At 44.0% G+C, this 20,947-nt stretch overlaps 2 protein-coding genes and 1 pseudogene across 21 annotated transcripts in view; 1 reads left to right on the top strand and 2 right to left on the bottom strand.

Annotated features, from left to right (window-relative positions):
* The window catches only part of STK38 (serine/threonine kinase 38), a 53,588-nt gene extending 50,071 nt beyond the window's left edge, over positions 1-3,517 (top strand). For 5 of the 8 annotated variants that reach the window (NM_001305102.2, NM_007271.4, XM_047418140.1 and 2 more), the window contains 2 exons: positions 604-698; positions 1,495-3,517. In NM_001305102.2, coding sequence (NP_001292031.1) covers positions 604-698; positions 1,495-1,625 — 226 coding nt within the window. In that variant the 3' untranslated portion in view covers positions 1,626-3,517. The remainder of the gene's footprint in view (positions 1-603; positions 699-1,494) is intronic. The other 3 variants (XM_017010226.2, XM_047418142.1, XM_047418143.1) reach the window with 1 other exon arrangement.
* Positions 3,445-3,600, bottom strand: LOC124901558 (uncharacterized; annotated as a pseudogene).
* Positions 3,601-6,267: 2,667 nt separating this feature from the next.
* Positions 6,268-20,947, bottom strand: part of KCTD20 (potassium channel tetramerization domain containing 20) — a 48,142-nt gene continuing 33,462 nt past the window's right edge. For 6 of the 13 annotated variants that reach the window (XM_011514398.4, XM_005248940.6, NM_173562.5 and 3 more), the window contains 5 exons: positions 18,186-18,288; positions 17,698-17,818; positions 15,650-15,847; positions 12,585-12,695; positions 6,268-10,526 (listed from right to left, as the gene is read on the bottom strand). In XM_011514398.4, coding sequence (XP_011512700.1) covers positions 10,234-10,526; positions 12,585-12,695; positions 15,650-15,847; positions 17,698-17,818; positions 18,186-18,288 — 826 coding nt within the window. In that variant the 3' untranslated portion in view covers positions 6,268-10,233. Of the gene's footprint in view, positions 10,527-12,584; positions 12,696-15,570; positions 15,848-17,697; positions 17,819-18,185; positions 18,289-20,947 lie in introns of those variants that run through there. The other 7 variants (XM_047418380.1, XM_047418381.1, XM_047418379.1 and 4 more) reach the window with 4 other exon arrangements.

Raw genomic sequence — 20,947 nt, 5'->3', positions numbered from 1 at the left:
TGGAGGAAAGATTGGAGGGGTGGAAGTGGAGAGGGAAAGGGAGAGTGAAAATTGTTATGGTGGGGGTAGTAGACTACGGCCAATAGCCGTGAGAGCCTAGACCACCTGCTGTAGTCCAGACCTTCTCATTCAGCATTCATTGGTTATTAAATAGAAGGTGAAGTTTTCATTTATTTTATAATTGTGTACTGATTTGCTGCTTGTGATTTTTTACCTTTGCCACTTTTCTAGCCATCCTACTTGGCACCTCCAGTGGAAGAAGGGCAGAGCCCTACACAAGGGGACATTTAGAGGTTCAGTTTCCCTTTTTAGTAGACAGGCCAGGCCATGGGGGGAGTTGCACTAACTTCACGTTTTAGTTATTCTTATCTTTCTTTCTAGCTATGAATGATTGAGTTATTTTTTTAAAATCATAATTTACTTTGGGTACAGTCAGTTGGCTTGGTTGGTCAGTGTTTATAAGTTTTTCAGAGAAAATAAATGCTGCCTGCCAGTGAAGAGTCTTCTCATGTCAGACCAGGGGTCTTTTTTGGAGAAAGACTTGATTGGTATGATCCATTTGATTACTAACTTAGTAATTTTTGGCATGTGTATTCTTGGCAGAGAGAGACCTGCTGCAATATCTATTGAAATCAAAAGCATTGATGATACCTCAAACTTCGATGAGTTTCCAGAATCTGATATTCTTAAGCCAACAGGTAACACCACCAGCATTGTCTCCTGCTGCCTTATAAGCACATTATTTACCCCCAATTTTGGGATGATGTTTACAAATCAGGGTAGTGAACATGGAGAGGAATTTCATTTCTTCAGGTTCTTTGTAAGTACTTTTCTAATTCTAATGCTGGGTAGTGGTGAAACCTTGGTGAATGGAAAATGAGTATCAGCTCCCATGTTTAGACTGCTCAACTGGGTGAGTAAGTCACAAAAATCTGTTCTTTTGTTATTTACTAAGTGTTAGGTAATCTGAAATGACAGGAATGGGAAAATAAAACATTAAAAAATTTGTGAAGAAATATGAGATTTAAAGAACATGAGCAAGAAAATGTGGAAAATTCATAGAGTGAGGCCAGGCGCGGTGGCTCATGCCTGAAACCCCAGCACTTTGGGAGGCCGAGGTGGGCAGATCACAAGGTCAAGAGATCGAGACCATCCTGGCCAACATGGTGAAACTCCATCTCTACTAAAAATACAAAAATCAGCTGGGTATGGTGGCACACGCCTGTAGTCCCAGCTACTGGGGAGGCTGAGGCAGAAGGATTGTTTGAACCCGGGAGGCAAGGTTGCAGTGAGCTGAGATGACGCCACTGCACTCCAGCCTGGCGACAGAGCAAGACTCTGTCTCAAAAAAAAAAAAAAAAAAAATTCATAGAGTGAAAAATAAGCTTTCCCAAATAGAAACTGGTGTGTTCTTCATAGTCCTGTCTTCAGCACCGTGAGCAGTCCATTGGAGGCAAGGCAGTGAATCAACTCTCACATCTATTTCTTTCCCAGTGGCCACAAGTAATCATCCTGAGACTGACTACAAGAACAAAGACTGGGTCTTCATCAATTACACGTACAAGCGCTTTGAGGGCCTGACTGCAAGGGGGGCAATACCTTCCTACATGAAAGCAGCAAAATAGTACTCTTGCCACGGAATCCTATGTGGAGCAGAGTTCTTTGTATAACATCATGCTTTTCCTCTCACACTCTTGAAGAGCTTCCAAGAAGTTGATGGAACCCACCAATATGTCATAGTAAAGTCTCCTGAAATGTGGTAGTAAGAGGATTTTCTTCCATAATGCATCTGAAAAACTGTAAACAAAGACAACCATTTCTACTACGTCGGCCATAAACAGCTATCCTGCTTTGGAAGAGAAGCATCATGAGCCAATTTGATAGGTGTTTTAAAAATAACTTGAGTTTTCCTAAGTTCATCAGAATGAAGGGGAAAAACAGCCATCATCCAACATTATTGAGATTGTCGTGTATAGTCATCGAATATCAGCCAGTTCCTGTAATTTTGTGACACGCTCTCTGCCAAGCCCACCAAGTATTTCCTTTATAGCTAAAAGTTCCATAGTACTAAGGAAATAAAGCAATAAAGACAGTCTCAGCAGCCAGGATTCTGGCTGAAGGAAATGATCCGCCACCCTGAGGGTGGTGATGGTAGTTTCTACCCATACCTCAGCCTCAGGCGAGTGGCTTATAGCCTCCATTCATGGTGCACTTTATTTATGGTACTAAGATAAAGACTGTCAATCCATTGATTTATCTCCTCCTGTCCCCCATCTAAAATACCCATGCTGCTTTTCTGAGTGTTGATGGGGGTTACCAGCTTGATCCACTGTTGCTCTTAGAAGGCCCAGAAAGTCTTTGGGCATTGCCAAGAAATCCCGGATTATGTGGAAAACCCTCACTTTCTCTTCACGGCTGTACCAGAAAATCCCTAAGACAGATCTTGCCGTGGACTAGCAATACCTGCAAGTGCTGCCAATGGGAACTCAATTTATTCCTGGGAACCTAACGAGGAGAGCCCAGGCCTAGGCAGGAGGCCTGGAACCCTCTTGGCTAAGGTGCTGTTCCTGTTCCTGCAAGGTCTCCAGAACCCCTTTGGAAATGGTGAAGGAACCAGCCCAATAGAAGTACAGAGCCAGCTGACAAGTCCTTGTAAAGCTCACTCCTCAGTCCTTGGCACAGCCATGTTTTGTCTTCTCTCTTGGTATTTCTTCTCTCCCAACTTTAGCCATTTTGCCTTGGAATCATGATTACAATTTTTTCCTTTGCAGATGCCTTCCTGGGGGATACTCCTCCCCACCCTAAAGGGTCGCCTGCAACTTAGGCGGATTGGGTCTCTCTGCTGTGGCGTTCTCTCTTGAGAGACCCTCTGAATTTTAGCACAAAGTGCCTTCTGTTTCACAGCTGCCACCACCTTTAGAGGAATTTCGTCAGAAAAATGTGGAGGCTCCATATTAATGCATTATTTTTTAAAAAGTTTTGATAACTCTTAAAGCATCATTTGCACCTATGTGGGAACTTTGCCTGTTGCAAAGTATTGTGGCCGAGCTGCAGCTGGGAGCCTGCTTTCTGCCAGTCTTGAGGTTCTGAAGATCAGCTTTGAAAGGAAAGTATGTCCTAGCTTAGCCATTCAGAAGAGAAAAATGGAATATCAGAGTTACAGTTGTCAGTGAAACTACTTTGGATTTTAACCTCTTAGAGGAAGAAAAAAGGTTAGGGAAGTGTCAACTCTGGATGAAGGTGATGTGTTTGCCTCTCAGTCTTTCATTCATAGCCTGCTAGTGAAAAGGAAGTAAATGAGATTCTTTTGTGTGACTTTGTAGTCTCTTTGTATTACCAAATAGTTGGGGTGTTGACTCCTGTGTGTTTTGCAAGAATGTGTGGTAAGCCTGGGTAAAGAGAAGGAACTGCGGTGTTGGGAGAGTCTTTGTGTTGGGGAGTGGCAGGGGATGATTTGTTTCAGGGGAAAATGCCCACATTTTAACTTTTAAACTTCTGAATAAACTGTGTAAAAACAGTAGTGGAAATACGTGGTGTGATTTATTAAACTGATAAGAACAGATACTGCATTTGATCTTAGCAAAAAGGCTGAGAGGGGATTGTGATGTGATTTAAAGCAGATAGTGGCATATAACTTAGAGGCAGAGTGCTGATGGCTGCTTTTAACCCCTTTGTCCACAAACCATTACAACGCCTAATTTCGAGTGTTAATTTCAAAACTGTATCACCATCTTCATGCAAAGTGCTTTTCCATCTCAGGGAAGCTGGGACTGACTTTTGTTCTTAGGGAGCTAGTCTCCTGAATCACTGTCCATATGAAGAGACTTCTCTTGCCCCGACTGCATGTGCTTCTTCCACCCACCTCAGTGTTGCAGGGCAGTGGGCCCTCCCCTCACAGTAAGGCCAAGGGCACACACATCCTGACAAAAGTGCTGTCATCTGGTGGACCTTTTGTACAGCCTTTTACAGCCCAGCCCCATTTTTTCGCAGCCTGCAGTCAACGAGGAATCTCATGAGCTCATAAGATGGAATTGTTGGCTGGGTGTGGTGTCTCACACCTGTAATCCTAGGACTTTGGGAGGCCGAGGCAGGGGGATCACAAGGTCAGGAAAGATTGAGACCATCCTGGCTAACATAGTGAAACCCCGTCTTTACTAAAAATACAAAAATTAGCTGGGCATGGTGGCACGAGCCTGTAGTCTCAGCTACTCAGCAGGCTGAGGCAGGAGAATCGCTTGAACCTGGGAGGCGGAGGTTGCAGTGAGCTGAGATCGTGTCATTGCACTCCAGCCTGGGTGATAGAGCGAGACTCCGTCTCAAAAAAAAAAAAAAAAAAAAAAAAGATGGAATTGTTCAGCCCTGTGTCCATCAGAGCAGGGTTCTGTCTCTGAGATGTTGTATGCTGGAGGAGTCCCATATGCCCCACTTGTTAGCCCCTTTCTGGGTAGGGAAAAGCACCTCAAGGAGTCCAGAAGGGAGGGGCAAAGACCAGCTAGAGTAGAAACTGCAGGCAGAGGAAGCTAAATGCAGCCAGAATGGGTAATGTCTTTCTAAGGCTTATGAATCCTAAGAAACATGTTGGGCAACACTGGCTCAGTGTCGATCCTGTTGACAGAAATTCTGTTTCCTACTCTCATTGGGGTAGTTAGAAAATTGCATACTAAAATGAAACCAAAATCATATCATTTGATGTCTCCCAGTTCAGGAATGCATCACAATTTTCTTTAGTACCTGTTTCTTTGTAGTTGGCTTGGTTGATTGGCATTTATTTAGTACTCCTCTCCCCTGCATCTAAATTACCCAGGCTGCTTTTCTGACTGTTGATGGGTGGATACCAGCTTGATCCATTGTTGCTCTTAGAATTACTTTCAAAGGGCTGGGCATGATGGCTCACGCTTTAATCCCAGCACTTTGGGAGGCTGAAGTGAGTGGATCGCTTGAGCCCAGTTAGTTCAAGACCAACCTGGGCAACATGGCGAAACCCTGCCTCTACCAAAAATACAAAAAATTAGCATGGTGGCACGTGTCTGTAGTCCCAGATGCTCGGGAGTCTGAGGTGGGAGAATCACTTGAGCCTGGGAGGTGGAGGTGGCAATGAGCCAAGATTGTGCCACTGCACTCCAGCCTGGGTAACAGAGTGAGACTCTGTCTCCAAAAAGAAAAAAAAAAAAAAGTCAAAACTAAGATTCACATGAGTTCCTTCAGGATTAATACTCAGGTTCTGCAAAACAGATTGCCAATTTGAAAACTCATCTGTACAGCCTAGTAAGAGTCCCCCTCTGCCATCAGTTGGTAATGCTCTTTGTCAGAATTATTTCCTTGGAACTTTTTTAGATCGCCTTGTCCTGGTTCTCCTGGGCTTCTGTGTAACCCAAGTGGTGTTTTTAATTGAATTCAGAAGGATTCAGTGAATGATATTTTCATTTCCTACAGAGCATATTTCTCTGGAATGATCCATCAAAGCCAACACTGACAAAAACGGCCTTCGTGATGCTTTTTCACGCACATTTTCAGAGAAAAAACACCTTGCCCAAGCAACATTCAAGCTCAGTTCCAGGCAGTCTGGTGAGGCAACAGGTTGCTCACCGTGGTTCTGAATTGCAGATCAGTTTGAGAGAATTCCCAACAACAAGTGGCTTAATGGAATGTAGCATCACCTTATTTACATTAGTGTTGATGTGACCTTGACAAGCCAACCCAGAGTTGTGAGTAGCTTAGTGAAGCATCCCAGAGATGTTAACCTGTTAACCTTTAAAACAAACTCACTCTCCTCCCATCTCCCTGACTTCCTTCTTATTAGTTCCACACTTAAATGTTGGTGCTGGTGCCTTTGCCCTCTTCAGTCGTGTGATCTCTTGGTGATCTCCATACTGTGGCTTCACCTACCACCTTGGTAGTGAAGTCTTCAAAGACCCACCTACTTTTTTTTTTTTTAAGACGGAGTCTTGCTCTATCACCCAGGCTGGAATGCAGTGGCACAATCTCGGCTCACTGCAGCCTCTGCCTCACAGGTTCAAGTGATTCTTCTGCCTCAGCCTCCCCAGTACCTGGGACTACAGGCATGTGCCACCACGCCTGGCTAATTTTTGTATTTTTAGTAGAGATAGGGTTTTGCCACACCTTGGCCAGGCTGGTCTCGAACTCCTGACCTCAAGTGATCCACCTGTTTGGCCTCCCAAAGTACTGGGATTACAGGCGTGAGCCACCGCGCCTGGCCCAACATCTTTATTTCTAATTTTACTTTCTGCTAAAAAAAAAACAGACACACAAATTATAATATTTTATTATAGAAAAAGCATCCCAAATACAGGATTTCGTAAACACTGGTAGGTGAACAAGTGCAATTTTAAAAGTAAATACAAAGTAGAGGCAAAACCTACAAGCATTTTGCCTTCAGAAGAAAATGTAATGTTCTCCTGCACTAGTGATCCCACCCAGAACACAAATGTGGCTCCATCTCCCATGAAAGCATCATATTTGCTTTCTGAGCTCAGTATTCCCATTTCAATAATTGCAAAGTGATGGCAAGAAGTGGCACTGAATACATTACTACAAACCCTTGACTTAAAATATTGAGACAGGGTCTTGCCCTGTCATCCAGGCTGGAGTGCAGTAGCGTCATCATGGCTCACTGCAGCCTCATCCTCCTGGGCTCAAGCAATCATCCTGTCTCAGCCTCTTGAGTGGCTGGGACCACAGGTATGCACTACCATGTCCATGCCTGGCTATTTTTTTAATTTTTTACGTTGCCCAGGCCAGTCTGAAACTCCTGACCTCAAGTGATCCTCCCACCTTGGCCTCCCAAAGTGCTGGGATTACCGGCATGAGCCACTGCACCCAGCCAAAACCTTTAATTTTTTTTTTTCTTTTTTGAGATGGAGTCTTGCTCTGTTGCCCAGGCTGGAGTGCAGTGGCATGATCGTGGCTCACTGCAACCTCTACCTCCCGGGTTCAAGCAGTTCTCCTGCCTCAGCCTCCCAAGTAGCTGGGACTACAGGCACTTGCCACCACACCGGGCTAATTTTTTTGTATTTTTAGTAGAGACGGGGTTTCACCATGTTGGCCAGGCTGGTCTCGAACTCCTGACCTTAGGTGATTTGCCGGCCTCGGCCTCCCAAAGTGCTGGGATTACAGGCGTGAGCCACCACGCCTGGCCAAAAACCCTTGCTTTTTAACTTCGATTGACACTTAACAAAAATCCTCCACATCCCACTTTTTGACAGTTTACATTAAAGCCTGTGGTCTGAATATTTGTTTTACTTAGAGGGGGACCCTTTGGGCAACTTATTTGCAAACACATCTAACCTTCCTGGGCTTATTCCACAGTATTTTCATAGACCTGTATATATTAGACATCACACTGTTCTCTTGGGATTTAAAGTAGTACTGGGTACTGCATATTGTGCAGTAAATCTGGCTTGCTTTCTTAACCTTTTTGCTGCCATTCTTTCAAATATTTTTCCAGGGCTTAGGGGAAACCATTAAATGATCTGACTTAACACTGTCGTCTTGCCCTCCCTCCAACTCCTCAGTGGCAAATGTTTCCTCATCAAAACAGCATGATATGATGCAGATGCAAACTCAAGATTCTAAACTTCAGATTCGGGTTAATCTTGGCTTGCCGATTTCTCTGGCTAAAATATCAACAGCCTGGCTTGCTTATTTAGGCACTTAGAAGAAAACACCAAACCCAAGTTTCACATTTTTAAAATTACAAATGCCTCTTACCCATCTGGCCAGGAACCAACTCTGAAGGGGGTGACCTCAACCCAGCCCTTGTTTCTGTGAGGTCCTGCTTTTGCAGAATGGCCTGCCCCTGGGACTGGAGCAGGCTTGGGTGAGCTCTAGGTGGAGGGTGGTGGGAGGGGCATAGAAATAAACCTTCCTCTCCATCAGAAGGAACCTGTGATCCCAGCTTTTCCTTCAGTCACCACCACCTCGTGACACTAGAAAGCCTACCGTCACAGATTTCCAGCTTACTCAAACCCCACAGGTTGGGGTCAAATGCATGTTAACCTAATTTGGGGGAAAAAAGACTCAATCTTGAAAGCCTGAGCAAAGTAAAGGGTTACACAGGACAGTGTCAAGTATATGCCATACTTCATACCTGGCATTTTCCCTAAGCAAGAACTAATTAGTTTTCATTTTTAAGTGTTAGCTGTGGCATGGTTTACACTTAAATGTTAACAATACATAAGCTGTGTAACAGAAGTTATACATAGTTATCATGGAATATACAAACACTAGGTAATTCAAATTTCCTTTGTAATGGCATGGAAGTCTACTGAGAAGCAGAAAAGAAGCACCATTTAACAATTATCTGGGCTAGTCAACTGGTAGTGGGTATAAATGTACTGGTAAGGTCAAGGCCACACCTAACCTCAAATATGAGCCAATTAGTTTCACAGAAATAAAATTACCTTCTAGCTACAAATAATCCTAACCCTTAATCCAGGCCATTGGCCTTGCAAATGGATGCCAATAGTCATCAGGTGGGGGATAGCTCAGTTTAACCACTTACTACATTCTAGTGAAGAACAGAGCATTAATTTCCACAGTGATGCTAGTCACATGCAGAGAACGTAAGAACACTTTTTCAGCCCTGGAAAGAGCTTTCAACATCTACCTGGCTTTTATCTTTGGATGATTATGACTAGGACAGTCATTAAATGGAATCGAGTAGCCTCTCCTACACAGGATGAGCATCCCAAATCCAAAAATCCGAAATTTGAAGTGCTCCAAAATCCACTTTTTTGAGTGCTGACATGACGTTCAGAAGCCTTTCAGATTTGGGGTGCTCAACTGTTAAGTATTCCAAAATCTGAAAAAATCTGAAACCTTTCTGGTCCCTAGCATTTTGGATAAGAGATACTCAACCTGTATTCCAGTCAGCTTCTACCACAAACTGGGAGATAATTCCAAAATACTTATATCTGGCTCTGCACTCTAAATTTAGCTATACTATTAATAGCCATGGAGAACAGGAGGGAAGATGGTTCAGCACTGTGTGGGCTGAGGAGGGTGATCTGGGTGATCATGCACTGATAACAGAGCTAATAGATCAAATAAAATGACTGGGCTTAATTTCCATTCAGCTCACCCTTCCTTTGGGGATGACATTGGTATAATATTCCTACCCAATGTGTGAGCAGCTATTAGGCTATTTCAAGAACCAAAATACACTGATATCCAAAAATCCCATGGTATGAAAACATACAGAGAAAAGTCCTGCACTAGGACAGGGACTGTGCAGATGATGCTTCCCACCCAGCTTCACTCCATGTACCCCATGCTGGCACTCTTATGAGTCTTTCTGTTGAGAAACTGAGCAATTGTAAGCAATTTCTGTCCTCATCTTGAAAGCCTTTAAGCCATATCTAAGGTCTCCTGGACATATCCACAGCAATGTGCTGCTCCAGAGTGTTAAGACCTATGGTTTCACACCAGATTCCAAGCCAGGATAACCCAACTGGCCTGATTTGGAGAGGTCCTTCTACTTGCATTGTGAGTTTCATTCCAAATGAATCATCCATTTGTTTAGACTCCGAAACCTTGAAGCTAAAAAGGTCTCATCAACACTGTTATTCCATTATCCTTCCTGCCAAGGAATCTGTGTGGTTTTGAATTGTTCACTGCATTAATGAGACACAAATCTGAATTTAAGCTCTTAAGAATTTCCTTTTGGACATTCTGAATGAGACCCTAGTTCTTTCCAGATGCAATTTGGGTGCAGAGGCCACCAAGAATGGCATCTTCATTAACCTCTAATGAGCATCCGATTGGTGTCTGCTTTTAGAAGTTAGAGATTGTCACCTTTTCAGTTTGGTCCCTTTGCTACTAAGCAATTTGCCTGGTATAAAACAAGACAAAAACAAAACCCAAGAACAGAGTATAAAGGATAAGGACTGCTTTGCTAAGCACGAGGCAACAGGAGTCTTGACTTCCTTTCCTGCTTTTGCAGTTACACAAAGACTCAATGAACAGCACCAGACCCAAATTTTTCAAGTTACCAGGGCTGCTGCAAAGATGGTAGCTAATTACCAGTGAGTACTTCTTCATCCCCTGCCAGAGGCATGGACTTACTGAAAAGGACATATGTTAATTATGGCAGAAAGGAAAAGGTTAGGGGAGAAGCATGTCTCCTACTCAAGGTGAGACAAATCACGAGGGAGGGCTGGCTGCAGGCATCCCAGGTGAGATGGGCTCCAACAAGGAGTAGACCCACAGCTGGCCCTAATCCTGAAAGTCGTTAGAAGCCATCTGAGAAAGTGGGGCATTTAGCCGGTCAAGTTCATCCACTTGGGGTGGGTGATGCATTAATATCTCCTGGTCCTCCAAGACATCATCTCCAGCAGCTACCAGATTCGTGAGGGATTTGCTTCGAACACACTGGAAATCCACATGGCGACTCTTCCCTTCTTCCTTTTCCCATGACATCTGGATGAAGGGGCGTTGTACATAATTATAGATGACTTCAGACCGGCCGCCAGGCCTTCTCTTAATTTTTTCTTTACAGGTAGGGTAACCTGCAATGGAAAAAGGCCATTCTCATGACTAACAAATTGTGCTCACTCTGGTGTCCATACTTTCTCCTTCCTAACCACATCAGTTTTCTCCCAAAATCACAGCATGGAAAATATGTGCGAAGTGACCAGTCCCTGTCCCATGCTTTCCCAGCCCCAGTCACCTACATGTTCATTTCCTTCCTGGTCAGATTAGTAGGTCTTGTCCCTAGAAGGGACTAATCTGAGAAGTAACAAGAATTCTATCCCTTCTAATGGAAAGAGGAGAGAAGCCTCTTACCAGTTCAGGAACCTGTTGTTGCTGGCAACAATACCATAGAAGAAAAGTCCTGCCAAAGCATGGCTACCCTAGTCCTCTTAATTCTATTGCTTAGAGGGCATACTATATGAGAAACAGTTAAGGAAATGTGGAATGTTTAGCCTAAAGAAAAAACAGAGATGCTGCCTAAAATATGTGAAAGGCTGTCACATGGAAATGGGAAAAATAGTCAAAGTAGCTTCAGAGGCTATTAACTGGAAGGCAGGCAGGAGAGGGAGGCCGTTATCTATTAAATATGTATGGCAGAATGTTCTAATGGTAAAACAGTTTGATGGGTTGTTCTGGGAAATGCACCTAACAGACAAGGGAAAGACCGAGTAGGAGGAGATTTAATAGATAATCTCAAAAATGTCTTCCAAGGCTGGACACTGTCGCTCACACCTGTAATCCTAGCACTTTGGGAGGCCAAGGCAGGAGGATCGCTTGAGTCCAGGAGTTCAAAACCAGCCTGGGCCAGAGGGAGACCTCATCTCTTAGAAAAAAGGTTAAAAAAAAATAGTGGAGCATAGTGGTGCATGCCTGTGGTCTCTGCTACTTGGAAGGCTGAGGCAGGAGGACCACTTGAGCCCAGGAAGGTAAGGCTGCAGTGAGCCATGATTGTGTCACTGTACTCCAGTGTAAGCAGAAGAGTGAGACCCTGTCTCTTAAAAAAAAAAGTCCTCCAACTTTAAATTCAACTTAAGTCAGACACAGTGAAGCTTTGATGGGTTCTGTGGGCAGAAATGAGGCAACAAGAGTAGCAAAGCACAAGAGTCAAACAAAGATCCACATAGGGGGCCAGGCGCCGTGGCTCACATCTGTAATCCCAGCACTTAGGGAGGCCGAGGCGGCGGATCACGAGGTCAGGAGATTGAGACCATCCTGGCTAACAAAGTGAAACACCGTCTCTACTAAAAATACAAGAAATTAGCCGGGCATGGTTGCGGGTGCCTGTAGTCCCAGCTACTCGAGAGGCTGAGGCAGAAGAATGGCGTGAACCCAGGAGGCGGAGCTGGCAGTGAGCTGAGATCGTGCCACCGCACTCCACCTGGGCGACAGAGTGAGACTCCATCTCAAAAAAAAAAAAAAAAAAAAAAAAGATCCACTCCACGTAGGAGAGACCAAATGACTTTAGCACTCTCCAGGAATCAGTCTCTTGAGAGCCTTCCATGGGGACCACAGGTTGGGAGCCACTGCTCAAGATCATTCAAAGTAGTTCTGTTAATATATTCAGACATTCCTCAAAAGTATGGAATAATCTTTTTTTTTTTTTGAGATGAAGTTTAACTCTTATTGCCCAGGCTGGAGTGCAATTACCTTGGTATCCCAAAGTGCTGGGATCATAGGCACAACAAACTGTGCCCAGCCGGAATAATCTTTAATTTTGAGTCCCCAAGCTATTTTTTCAGAAGGACCCTTCCAGATACCAGAAACATCTTCACCAAGACTGGTGGCAGAACGACGCTCTCATCTGGTGAGCCCACAAGCCCTGCTGTATCTCCCTACCACTGTCCTTTGCCCTTGCTGCTCTTTATCCTGAAGTAGTAAACTCGAACTTGTTTCTGTGGCTGCTTTGAACCATTTTCAACTGGAGATAAAATGAAAAGAAAAATGAGGAAAAAACAGGAACATTCAAACTTGAGTAAGAATGTGGTTTTCATGTATGCCTATTTTCTAGGCCTCTGGAGGCTAAATTTTGAGGATGTAAGCTGTGGCAATAGACCCAACCTGAATGTTGACTGGGATTTTTTTTTTTTTTTTACCTTCAATTCCAATGCGAATGTTTTTTAGGCCCCGTTCCTTTAACACTGTTTTTGCAACATCCCTATTCTCAATATATTTGAAGAATCTGTAGAGCTTGGAGCTATAAAGAACTGAAAAAGAAAAAATATAGGGTTAGCCATGGAGTAAAGACCTAAGAGGAAAGAGAGAAGCTAACAAAATCAAACTAATGAAGGATATACTTGACTCCTAATCCCAAATAATCCAGATGGATCAAAGATTAAATGTTAAATAATACATAAACCGTAAGAGAAATTTTTATAGTCTCAGGGTGGGGACTTTCTGGGTACAACATTAAACCTAGAAGCCATAAAAGAAAAACTGATGATTTTAGAAATACAACATCTCTGCATAGCCTAAACCGTTTACCAAAGCTAAAAAGACACTGAATAAGAAAATATTTGCAACTCATAAAAGGTTAATTTCCTTAATTAGAAAGAGCTGCCACAAATAGAGCTTTCACAAATCACTAAGTAAAAAACTAACAATCTGATTTTGTAATGGGCAAAAGGCACAAACACTATTAACAAAAAAGGAAATTACAATGGCTCTTGAAAACTAAAAAGGTTTTGGCTGGGTGTGGTGGCTCACACCTGTAACCCAGCACTTTGGGAGGCCGAGGCAGGCAGATCAGTTGAGGTTGGGAGTTGGAGACCAGCCTGACTAACATGGTGAAACCCCGTCTCTACTAAAAATAGAAAAATTAGGCATAGTGGTGGGTGCCTGTAATCCCAGCTACTCGGGAGGCTGAGGCAGGAGAAGCACTTGAACCCTGGAGGCAGAAGTTGCAGTGAGCCAAGATCACGCCATTGCACTCCAGCCTGGCCAAGAGAAGGGAGACACCATCTCAAAAAAAAAAAAAAAAATTCAGCCTCACTCATGAAATAAGAAATGTAATTAAAACTCATGCCAATCATGAGATTCTGCCGTTTTTTTTTACTTACTAAGAAAGTAGCAAAGATAAAAGTTTTAAAAACACTGTTTTGGGGCCAGGCACAGTGGCTCACGCCTGTAATCACAACACTTTCGGGGGCAGATGCAGGAAGATGGCTTGAGGCCTGGAGTTTGAGACTAGCCTAGGCAAGGCAACATAGAACCCATTTCTACACAAAATTAAAAAAAAAATTAGCCAATCATGGTGGCACACACCTGCAGCCCAGGCTACTTGGAGGCTGAGATGGGAGAATCACTTAAGACTAGGAGTTTGAGGCTGCAGTGAGCCATGATTGCACCACTGCTCTCCAGCCTGGGTGAAAGAGCAAGATTCTATCTGTAAAAAAATTTTTTAAGAAGCCACTGTTGGCCAGCCATGGTGCCTGCAATCCCAGCACTTGGGAGGCTGAGGCGGGTGGATCATTTGAGGTCAGGAATTTGAGACCAGCCTGGCCAACATGGTGAAACCCCGTTTCTATTAATAATACAAAAATTAGCCGGACGTGGTGGCACGCACCTGTAGTCCCAGCTTCTTGGGAGGTTGAGGCATGAGAATCACTTGAACCCAGGAGGTGGGACTCTGTCTCAAAAAAAAAAAAAAAAAAAAAAGAAAAAGCCACTGTTTTGGTGAGGGGGTAGGAAACAAACCTGTCATGTATTGTTTTCTGAGTGTAAATTGGTACAAATTTTATGGAGGATAATTTGGCAACATCTATCAAAATTATAAAGGTATAATTTTTTTTTTTTTTTTTTTGAAACGGAGTCTCGCTCTGTTACCCAGGCTGTAGTGCAATGGCATGATCTCGGCTCACTGCAACGTCTGCCTCCTGGGTTCAAATGATTCTCCTGCCTCTCAGCCTCCTGAGTAGCTGGGATTACAGGCATGGGCCACCATGCCCGGTTAATCTTTTTTTTTTTTTTTTTTTTGAGACGTAGTCTTGCTCTGTCACTCAGGCTGAAGTGCAGTGGTGTGATCTTGTCTCACTGCAACCTCCGCCTCCTGGGTTCAAGTGATTCTCCTGTTTCAGCCTCCAGAGTAGCTAGGATTACAGGCATGAGCCACGACGCCCAGCTAATTTTTGTATTTTTAATAGAGATGGGGTTTCACTATATTGGCAAGGCTGGTCTCGAACTCTTGACCTCAAGCAATCAGCCCACCTTGGCCTCCCAAAGTGCTGGGATTACAGGCATGAGCCACTGCGCCTGGCCAATAGTTTAAACGTCCAATAATGGCTGGTTAAGTCAATTATGGCACATTTGTGCAAAGGAACACTATAGAGCCACAAAAAAGAATGTTGAAGATTTTTCTTTTGTTTTTTTGAGATGGAGTCTCACACTGTCGCCCGGGCTGGAGCGCAATGGCGTGATCTCGGCTCACTGCAACCGCCGCCTCCCAGGTTCACCTGATTCTCCTGCCTCAGCCTCCTGAGTAGCTGGGACTACAGGCGCACGCCACCATGCCTGGCTTATTTTTTGTATTTTTAGTAGAGATGGGCTTTCACTATGTTGGCCAGACTGGTCTTGAACTCCTGACCTCATGATTCGCCTGCCTCGGCCTCCCAAAGTGCTGGGATTACAGGCATGAGCTACCGCGCCCGGCCCAGAATGTCGAAGATTTTTGTTAACACATGGCACCGAACAGTTGTATAATATGGTACATTTGAAAAAGGAGGAGAAAACAAGTAATTGGTTATATATGTACACTGAATATACCTGGAAGCCTGTAAAAGAAATTGAGAAGCAAAACTGGATAGATGGGGCAGGAGTGAGAATAAGACTTTTTAGTGTATATCCTTTTATGTTTTTTGAATTTTGACTTATTACCAATTCAAAAGGATTTAAAATGAATTAAGAGAAGAATGACACCATCATTTAATGTGCTGCCTCAGTATCTTACACAGTACGAGACACCAGAGAAAGAGTGAATGGTGAACAACATTCACTGTGTTCCCCAGCATAAAGGCTAGACCTGCGTCACTAGGGATTTGTCATCCAGGTGAGTGTGCTCATCACAGGCTCAACATTGATATTCACATTGGTTCTAGGATCAAGCTGCTACTCCAGGTAGCAAGTTTCTTGCTGAAAACATCTACGCCATGCCAGAAGCTCCTACTTTGGGAATATTCCTCCCCCATTGGTGGAGGGTGGTCTTCATCCCAGTCCACAGAATCCTCATCCGTCAGCACAACAATGTGGCACTCTCGTTCTCCTTTCTTGGCACAGCCCACCATGATGGGCAAGATGAGCTCTTCGAGGTAGTGATCAAACTGCTTATGAGCACCGTCATTAGACAGTTCATGGAGTAAAGCACCTGCAGAGAGAAAATGTAGGTGAACATGCTTTCTGCCTAAATGCACATATTACTGGAGTGAAAAAGACTATGAGGGAATGGCTGTTATCATTGATGAGGTTCAGAGAAGTGGCACATTTAAAGGCAAAGAGATTGTTTCCTGCTCCAGGGTGATAATTAAGCTTTGTTAAGGTATGTCTCCTATTCTACCACTCTTCAATTTACTCATGTTTAATAATCCTTGAGCATTCTGATCGAGGTTTTGTTGGACTTACAAGGTCAGACCATGTTAATCCTATAAGAGATGAAATCATCATTTGGGGATGATTCTTTGTAGTACCTCTTCTGAAGATGGTTTGGATCCTGATTTCATGGAGTTAGAGTACCATAATAGAGGAATAATCTGAATTTTGGTGACACCAAAGGACTTACTCTAAATGTGTAATACACTCAGTAAAGAAATCACATGTACAGGGGCTTTCATGCAACATGCAGGGAAATGTATCATGAAATTCAGAGAATAGTTATTTATATAATTTCAGGAAGCCCAGGTAATAAGAGCATGGAGTTTGCAGTCAGACAATCTGAGTTCTCATCCTGGCCTTAATGCCTAGAGCTCTGAATAAGCTAATTTCTTAAATGAGGTTATCACCCATCTTTCAGGACTATTATAAGATTTAAGCAAGTCCGTATCTATAAAGCACTTAGCAAACACTAAGTTAATAATAATAGGCCGGGTGCAGTGGCTCATGCCTGTAACCTCGGCACTTTGGGAGGCCGAGGTGGCAGATCACTTGAGGTCAGGAGTTCGAGACCAGGCTGGCCAACATGGTGAAACCCTATCTCTACTAAAAATACAAAAATTAGCCGGGCATGGTGGCACGTGCCCGTAATCCCAGCTGCTCTGGCAGGAGAATTGCTTGAATCCAGGAGGCGGAGGCTGCAGTGAGCTGAGATTGTGCCACTGCACTCCAGCCTGGGCGACAGAACGAGACTCTTGTCTCCAAAACAAAACAATAATAATAAGCCAGGCGTGGTGGCATGTACCTGTAGTCCCAGCTACTCAGGAGGCTGAGGTGGGAGGACTGCTTGAGGCCAGAAGTTTGAGACCAGCCTGAGCAACATAGTAGCAAGACCCCATCTCAAATTAAAAAAAAAAAAAAAAAAAAAAAGGCAATATCATGATCAGGAGAACCTGGCCAATTTGTGCTGTTTGACTTTATTAGTGAACTGTTCCTCATGTTGGACAATCAGTATCCTTGTTTGTTAGAGTCGAGACACCAAAGTCCCAAGAGGGAAGCAGTCAGCTTGGTCTCCCACTGGTCAGGCTCCATTTAGAAACTACTATCTGTTTTCCTTTGTCTACTCCAGTTCCTCACAGTGCTTTGAACTAAGAGAGGAAAAGGGTTAGTTAGTATCACATCTCTGCCTCTGCAGAAGATTTTCAACCTAAACTTGAAACTCCTTCTGTTTAGTAATAGAAAATATCAGCTGGGCTTGGTGGCTCACGCCTGTAATCCCAGCACATTGGGAGGCTGAGGGCGGGCGGATCACCTGAGGTCAGGAGTTCAAAACCAGCTCGGCCAACATGGCAAAACCCTATCTCTACTAAAAATACAAAAATTAGCCAGGTGTGGTGGCAGGTATGTGTAATCCCAGCTACTTGGGAGGCTGAGGCAGGGAAAATCCCTTGAACCCAGGAGGCGGAGGTTGCGGTAAGCCGAGATCGTGCCACTGCACTCCAGCCTCGGCGACAGAGCGAGACTCTGTCTCAAAAAAAAAAAAAAAAAAAAAAAAAAAAAATCGGTGACTTCCAAGAAAACTGAAAGTTCAGCTGCTTAAGTGCAGCTGGCACCTGCTCCTGTACTTACTCAGATCTTGACATCGGATAGTGTTGAAGTCAAAATTAATGCAGAGATAATCACAAGTATCTCTAAGATCTGGGATAGAGATGCCATCAGGACAATTGATGATACCGGTTTTGTAATAATCCTGTAAATAGATTAGGAAGAAAAAATGTAGGCAGAGAACAAGATGAAAAATTACTTCTTCATCCCTGTGCATTCCTGGTTTTGTTAAAGCAATGAGCTACTGGAATTATCACCAAATTGGATGATTCATTAGATGGCAAAACAGCTCCTGGCTATCTTGACTTGTTTAACCAGAACTTGGTAACTGATAGAGCTCACATACAAACAAGCAAGGACTTAAAAGTTACAGGAATAGAAAACAAAGGGAGAAAGGAAACAACTGGAAACCAGAGACCCTAAAGTCAATAACATAGTTGATGGAACTCTCAAGGCTATTGATCACACATGCCCCTGAGGAAGAGAATGTAACAAAAAAGGCTACCACACACCAGCACTGTGCGAAATACAGTTGCACTGATGCCTTCAGCAATCTCATACTCTCCCTTCTCATTGGGCCGAGTGAAGTTGTACTCTCTTCCTGGTCCAAACATCCTGAAAGATATCCAGGCAATAATGTTATCTTCTCCATCATGATTCTTCACAGATGAGATTTCTCCCTTCTCCACCTCATTCTGGAAGACTCCATCCCACTCTCTCATAGTATAAATTAAAAACACAGCACTGGAACCCAATGCCTACAAGACACCTCAAGTCTTAGGAAGCTCCCTTCAGACAGGAAAAAAAGGCAATTGCTTTAAGCATTTGTGTACAAAGAAGAATGAAGGATCAAGTCCACAAAGTTCATCTGTAGTGAGTTTCTTTGGCAGTAAATGCAGTAAATAGCAACTGCAGAGGTGGCCCTTGGAAAATATCTGTGTTGAGATGGTGGCCTTTCATGCCCTCCCCACTGCCCAAGAACCTGCTTTTCTATACTGACAGCTCAGAAAGACAGCATCTAGGCTCCTTTTTATTCCTGTCCCCTCATCTGTCAATACTGACCTATCTAATATGCCATTCATCAATATTTCTGAGCTTTACTTTTCAACATCTCATCTTCTGTTAGATGCAGCTATGTTAATGCTTTCTTGGTATGTCTTAATAGTCGAGCTCTGGGGGAAAAATGGCCTTACTCAATACAAAGAATAATTAATGATGGGATTTTCAGATCAAGTAGAAAAGGAGGGTAGTAGGTATTAGGCTTATCAGCAGTTTACTGCATTTCAGAGAGACAGGCTTGCTGTCAGCATGAACTCAGAAGTCATGAGGGTACAGGGAGAAGAGCTTTTCTTATTTGCCTCTCCCCATCCTTCCTCCCTCTATCAGATCCCTTGCAGTCTAAATGACCCCATGACTTCCACTCCTGCTGCACTTCTGTGTATGAGCTGTGGAATGGTTAGATAACACAAAGGATAGGGCAGGCAGCTGCTATCTTCAACCAGCCTAAGATTTGACTTCCCAATCAAATGGGGGTTAACTGCCATTTCCTTCCTTAAACTGCTGGGAAGTGTTGCCTGTTCAGCTGTTCACAACTGTTGTCCTCCAGCCTGAACTGGCTGCTTTTCTTTTCTTTTTTTTTTTGAGATGGAGTTTCGCTCTGTTGCCCAGGCTGGAGTGCAGTGGCGCGATCTCGGCTCACTGCAACCTCCGCCTCCCAGGTTCACGCCATTCTCCTGCCTTAGCCTCCCCAGCAGTTGGGACTACAGGCGCCCGCCAGGGCACCCGGCTAATTTTTTTTGTATTTTTAGTAGAGACAGGGTTTCATCGTGGTCTCGATCTCCTGACCTCGTGATCTGCCCGCCTCGGCCTCCCAAAGTGCTGGGATTACAGGCGTGAGCCACCGCGCCCGGCGAACTGGCTGCTTTTCAAAGGTCTGAAAATGATTCCATTTCGGCCGGGTGTGGTGGCTCACGCCTGTAATCCCAGCACTTTGGGAGCCGAGATGGGCGGATCATGAGGTCAGGAGATAGAGACCATCCTGGCTAGAATGGTGAAACCCTGTCTCTACTAAAAAAAGAAATACAAAAAATTAGCTGGGCGTGGTGATGGGCGCCTGTAGTCCCAGCTGTGCGGGAGGCTGAGGCAGGAGAATGGCTGAACCCGGGAGGCAGAGCTTGCAGTGAGCTGAGATCGCGCGACTGCACTCCAGCCTGGGCGACAGAGCGAGACTCCGTCTCAAAAAAAAAAAAAAAAAGAAAAGAAAATGATTCCATTTCACATGCTTCCCAAATAACTGTACCACACATAAGAATTCCATCTTGATAAAAGCCTCCAAAGAATGCAGATGTTTTTCTGGAATGCTCTGGTTGAATGAAGTCTAGCTCAGAGAGCTCTGAATAAAAATAGTGAACATATTGTAACTATAATCCCCCCATTTATTATCAGCTGGACTTCAGCTCAGAGTTATTTATTTAGTAGTGGCATGGATCTGCATTAATCCATTCTCTTTCTCTCAGCTTCTCCCCTTGTGACTAGTGGCCCACATCTGTAAGCTCACTGGCTAGGCTTACAAGTACTGTATATAATCATAGGACAGGTAGCCACAGAACAGAACAAATCTAAATAACTTACAGAATTTACGACCTTGCCAATTCAGCTGAATGAACCATACAGATAAAGAACCAGACTCTCCTCTTCATGGGACAACCCATTCCAAGATTCAAAAAACCAGTGTCACCCAAGAATCTGTTACCCAGAAAACATTTGCCTTTCTTCTCTTGATCACTACTTTCAGAGGCAACATACCTAAAACAGCCAGCCTGCACTGAGAAACACTTTTTTCAGGGGGTGGGAATGATGGTAATACCCAAACTGAGAACAGGAAGTCAAACCTGATAAAAAATAGAGGGCCAGTCTGGAAAATGTTTTAATGTTCTACTTTTATCTTAATTCAGATGTTTAAGAAATATGTAGACAGGTTTGGTTCTAATTAAAAAGTGGTTCGCTGTGGCCAGGCACAGTGGCTCATGCCTGTAATCCCAGCACTTTGGGAGGCTAAGGTGGGCGGATCACGAGGTCAGGAGTTCAAGACCAGCCTGACCAACGTGGTGAAACCCCATCTCTACTAAAAATACAAAAATTTGCCGGGTGTGGTGGCACACACCTGTGATCCCAGCTACTTGGGAGGCTGAGGCACGAGAATTGCTTGAACCCGGGAGGTGGAGGTTGCAGTGAGCCGAGATTGCACCACTGCCCTCCAGCCTTGGTGACAGAG

The sequence above is a fragment of the Homo sapiens genome, chromosome 6 (genome assembly GCF_000001405.40).
Source record: "Homo sapiens chromosome 6, GRCh38.p14 Primary Assembly".
Classification (NCBI taxonomy): domain Eukaryota; kingdom Metazoa; phylum Chordata; class Mammalia; order Primates; family Hominidae; genus Homo; species Homo sapiens.
This window is presented reverse-complemented; position numbering and strand designations above follow the sequence as displayed.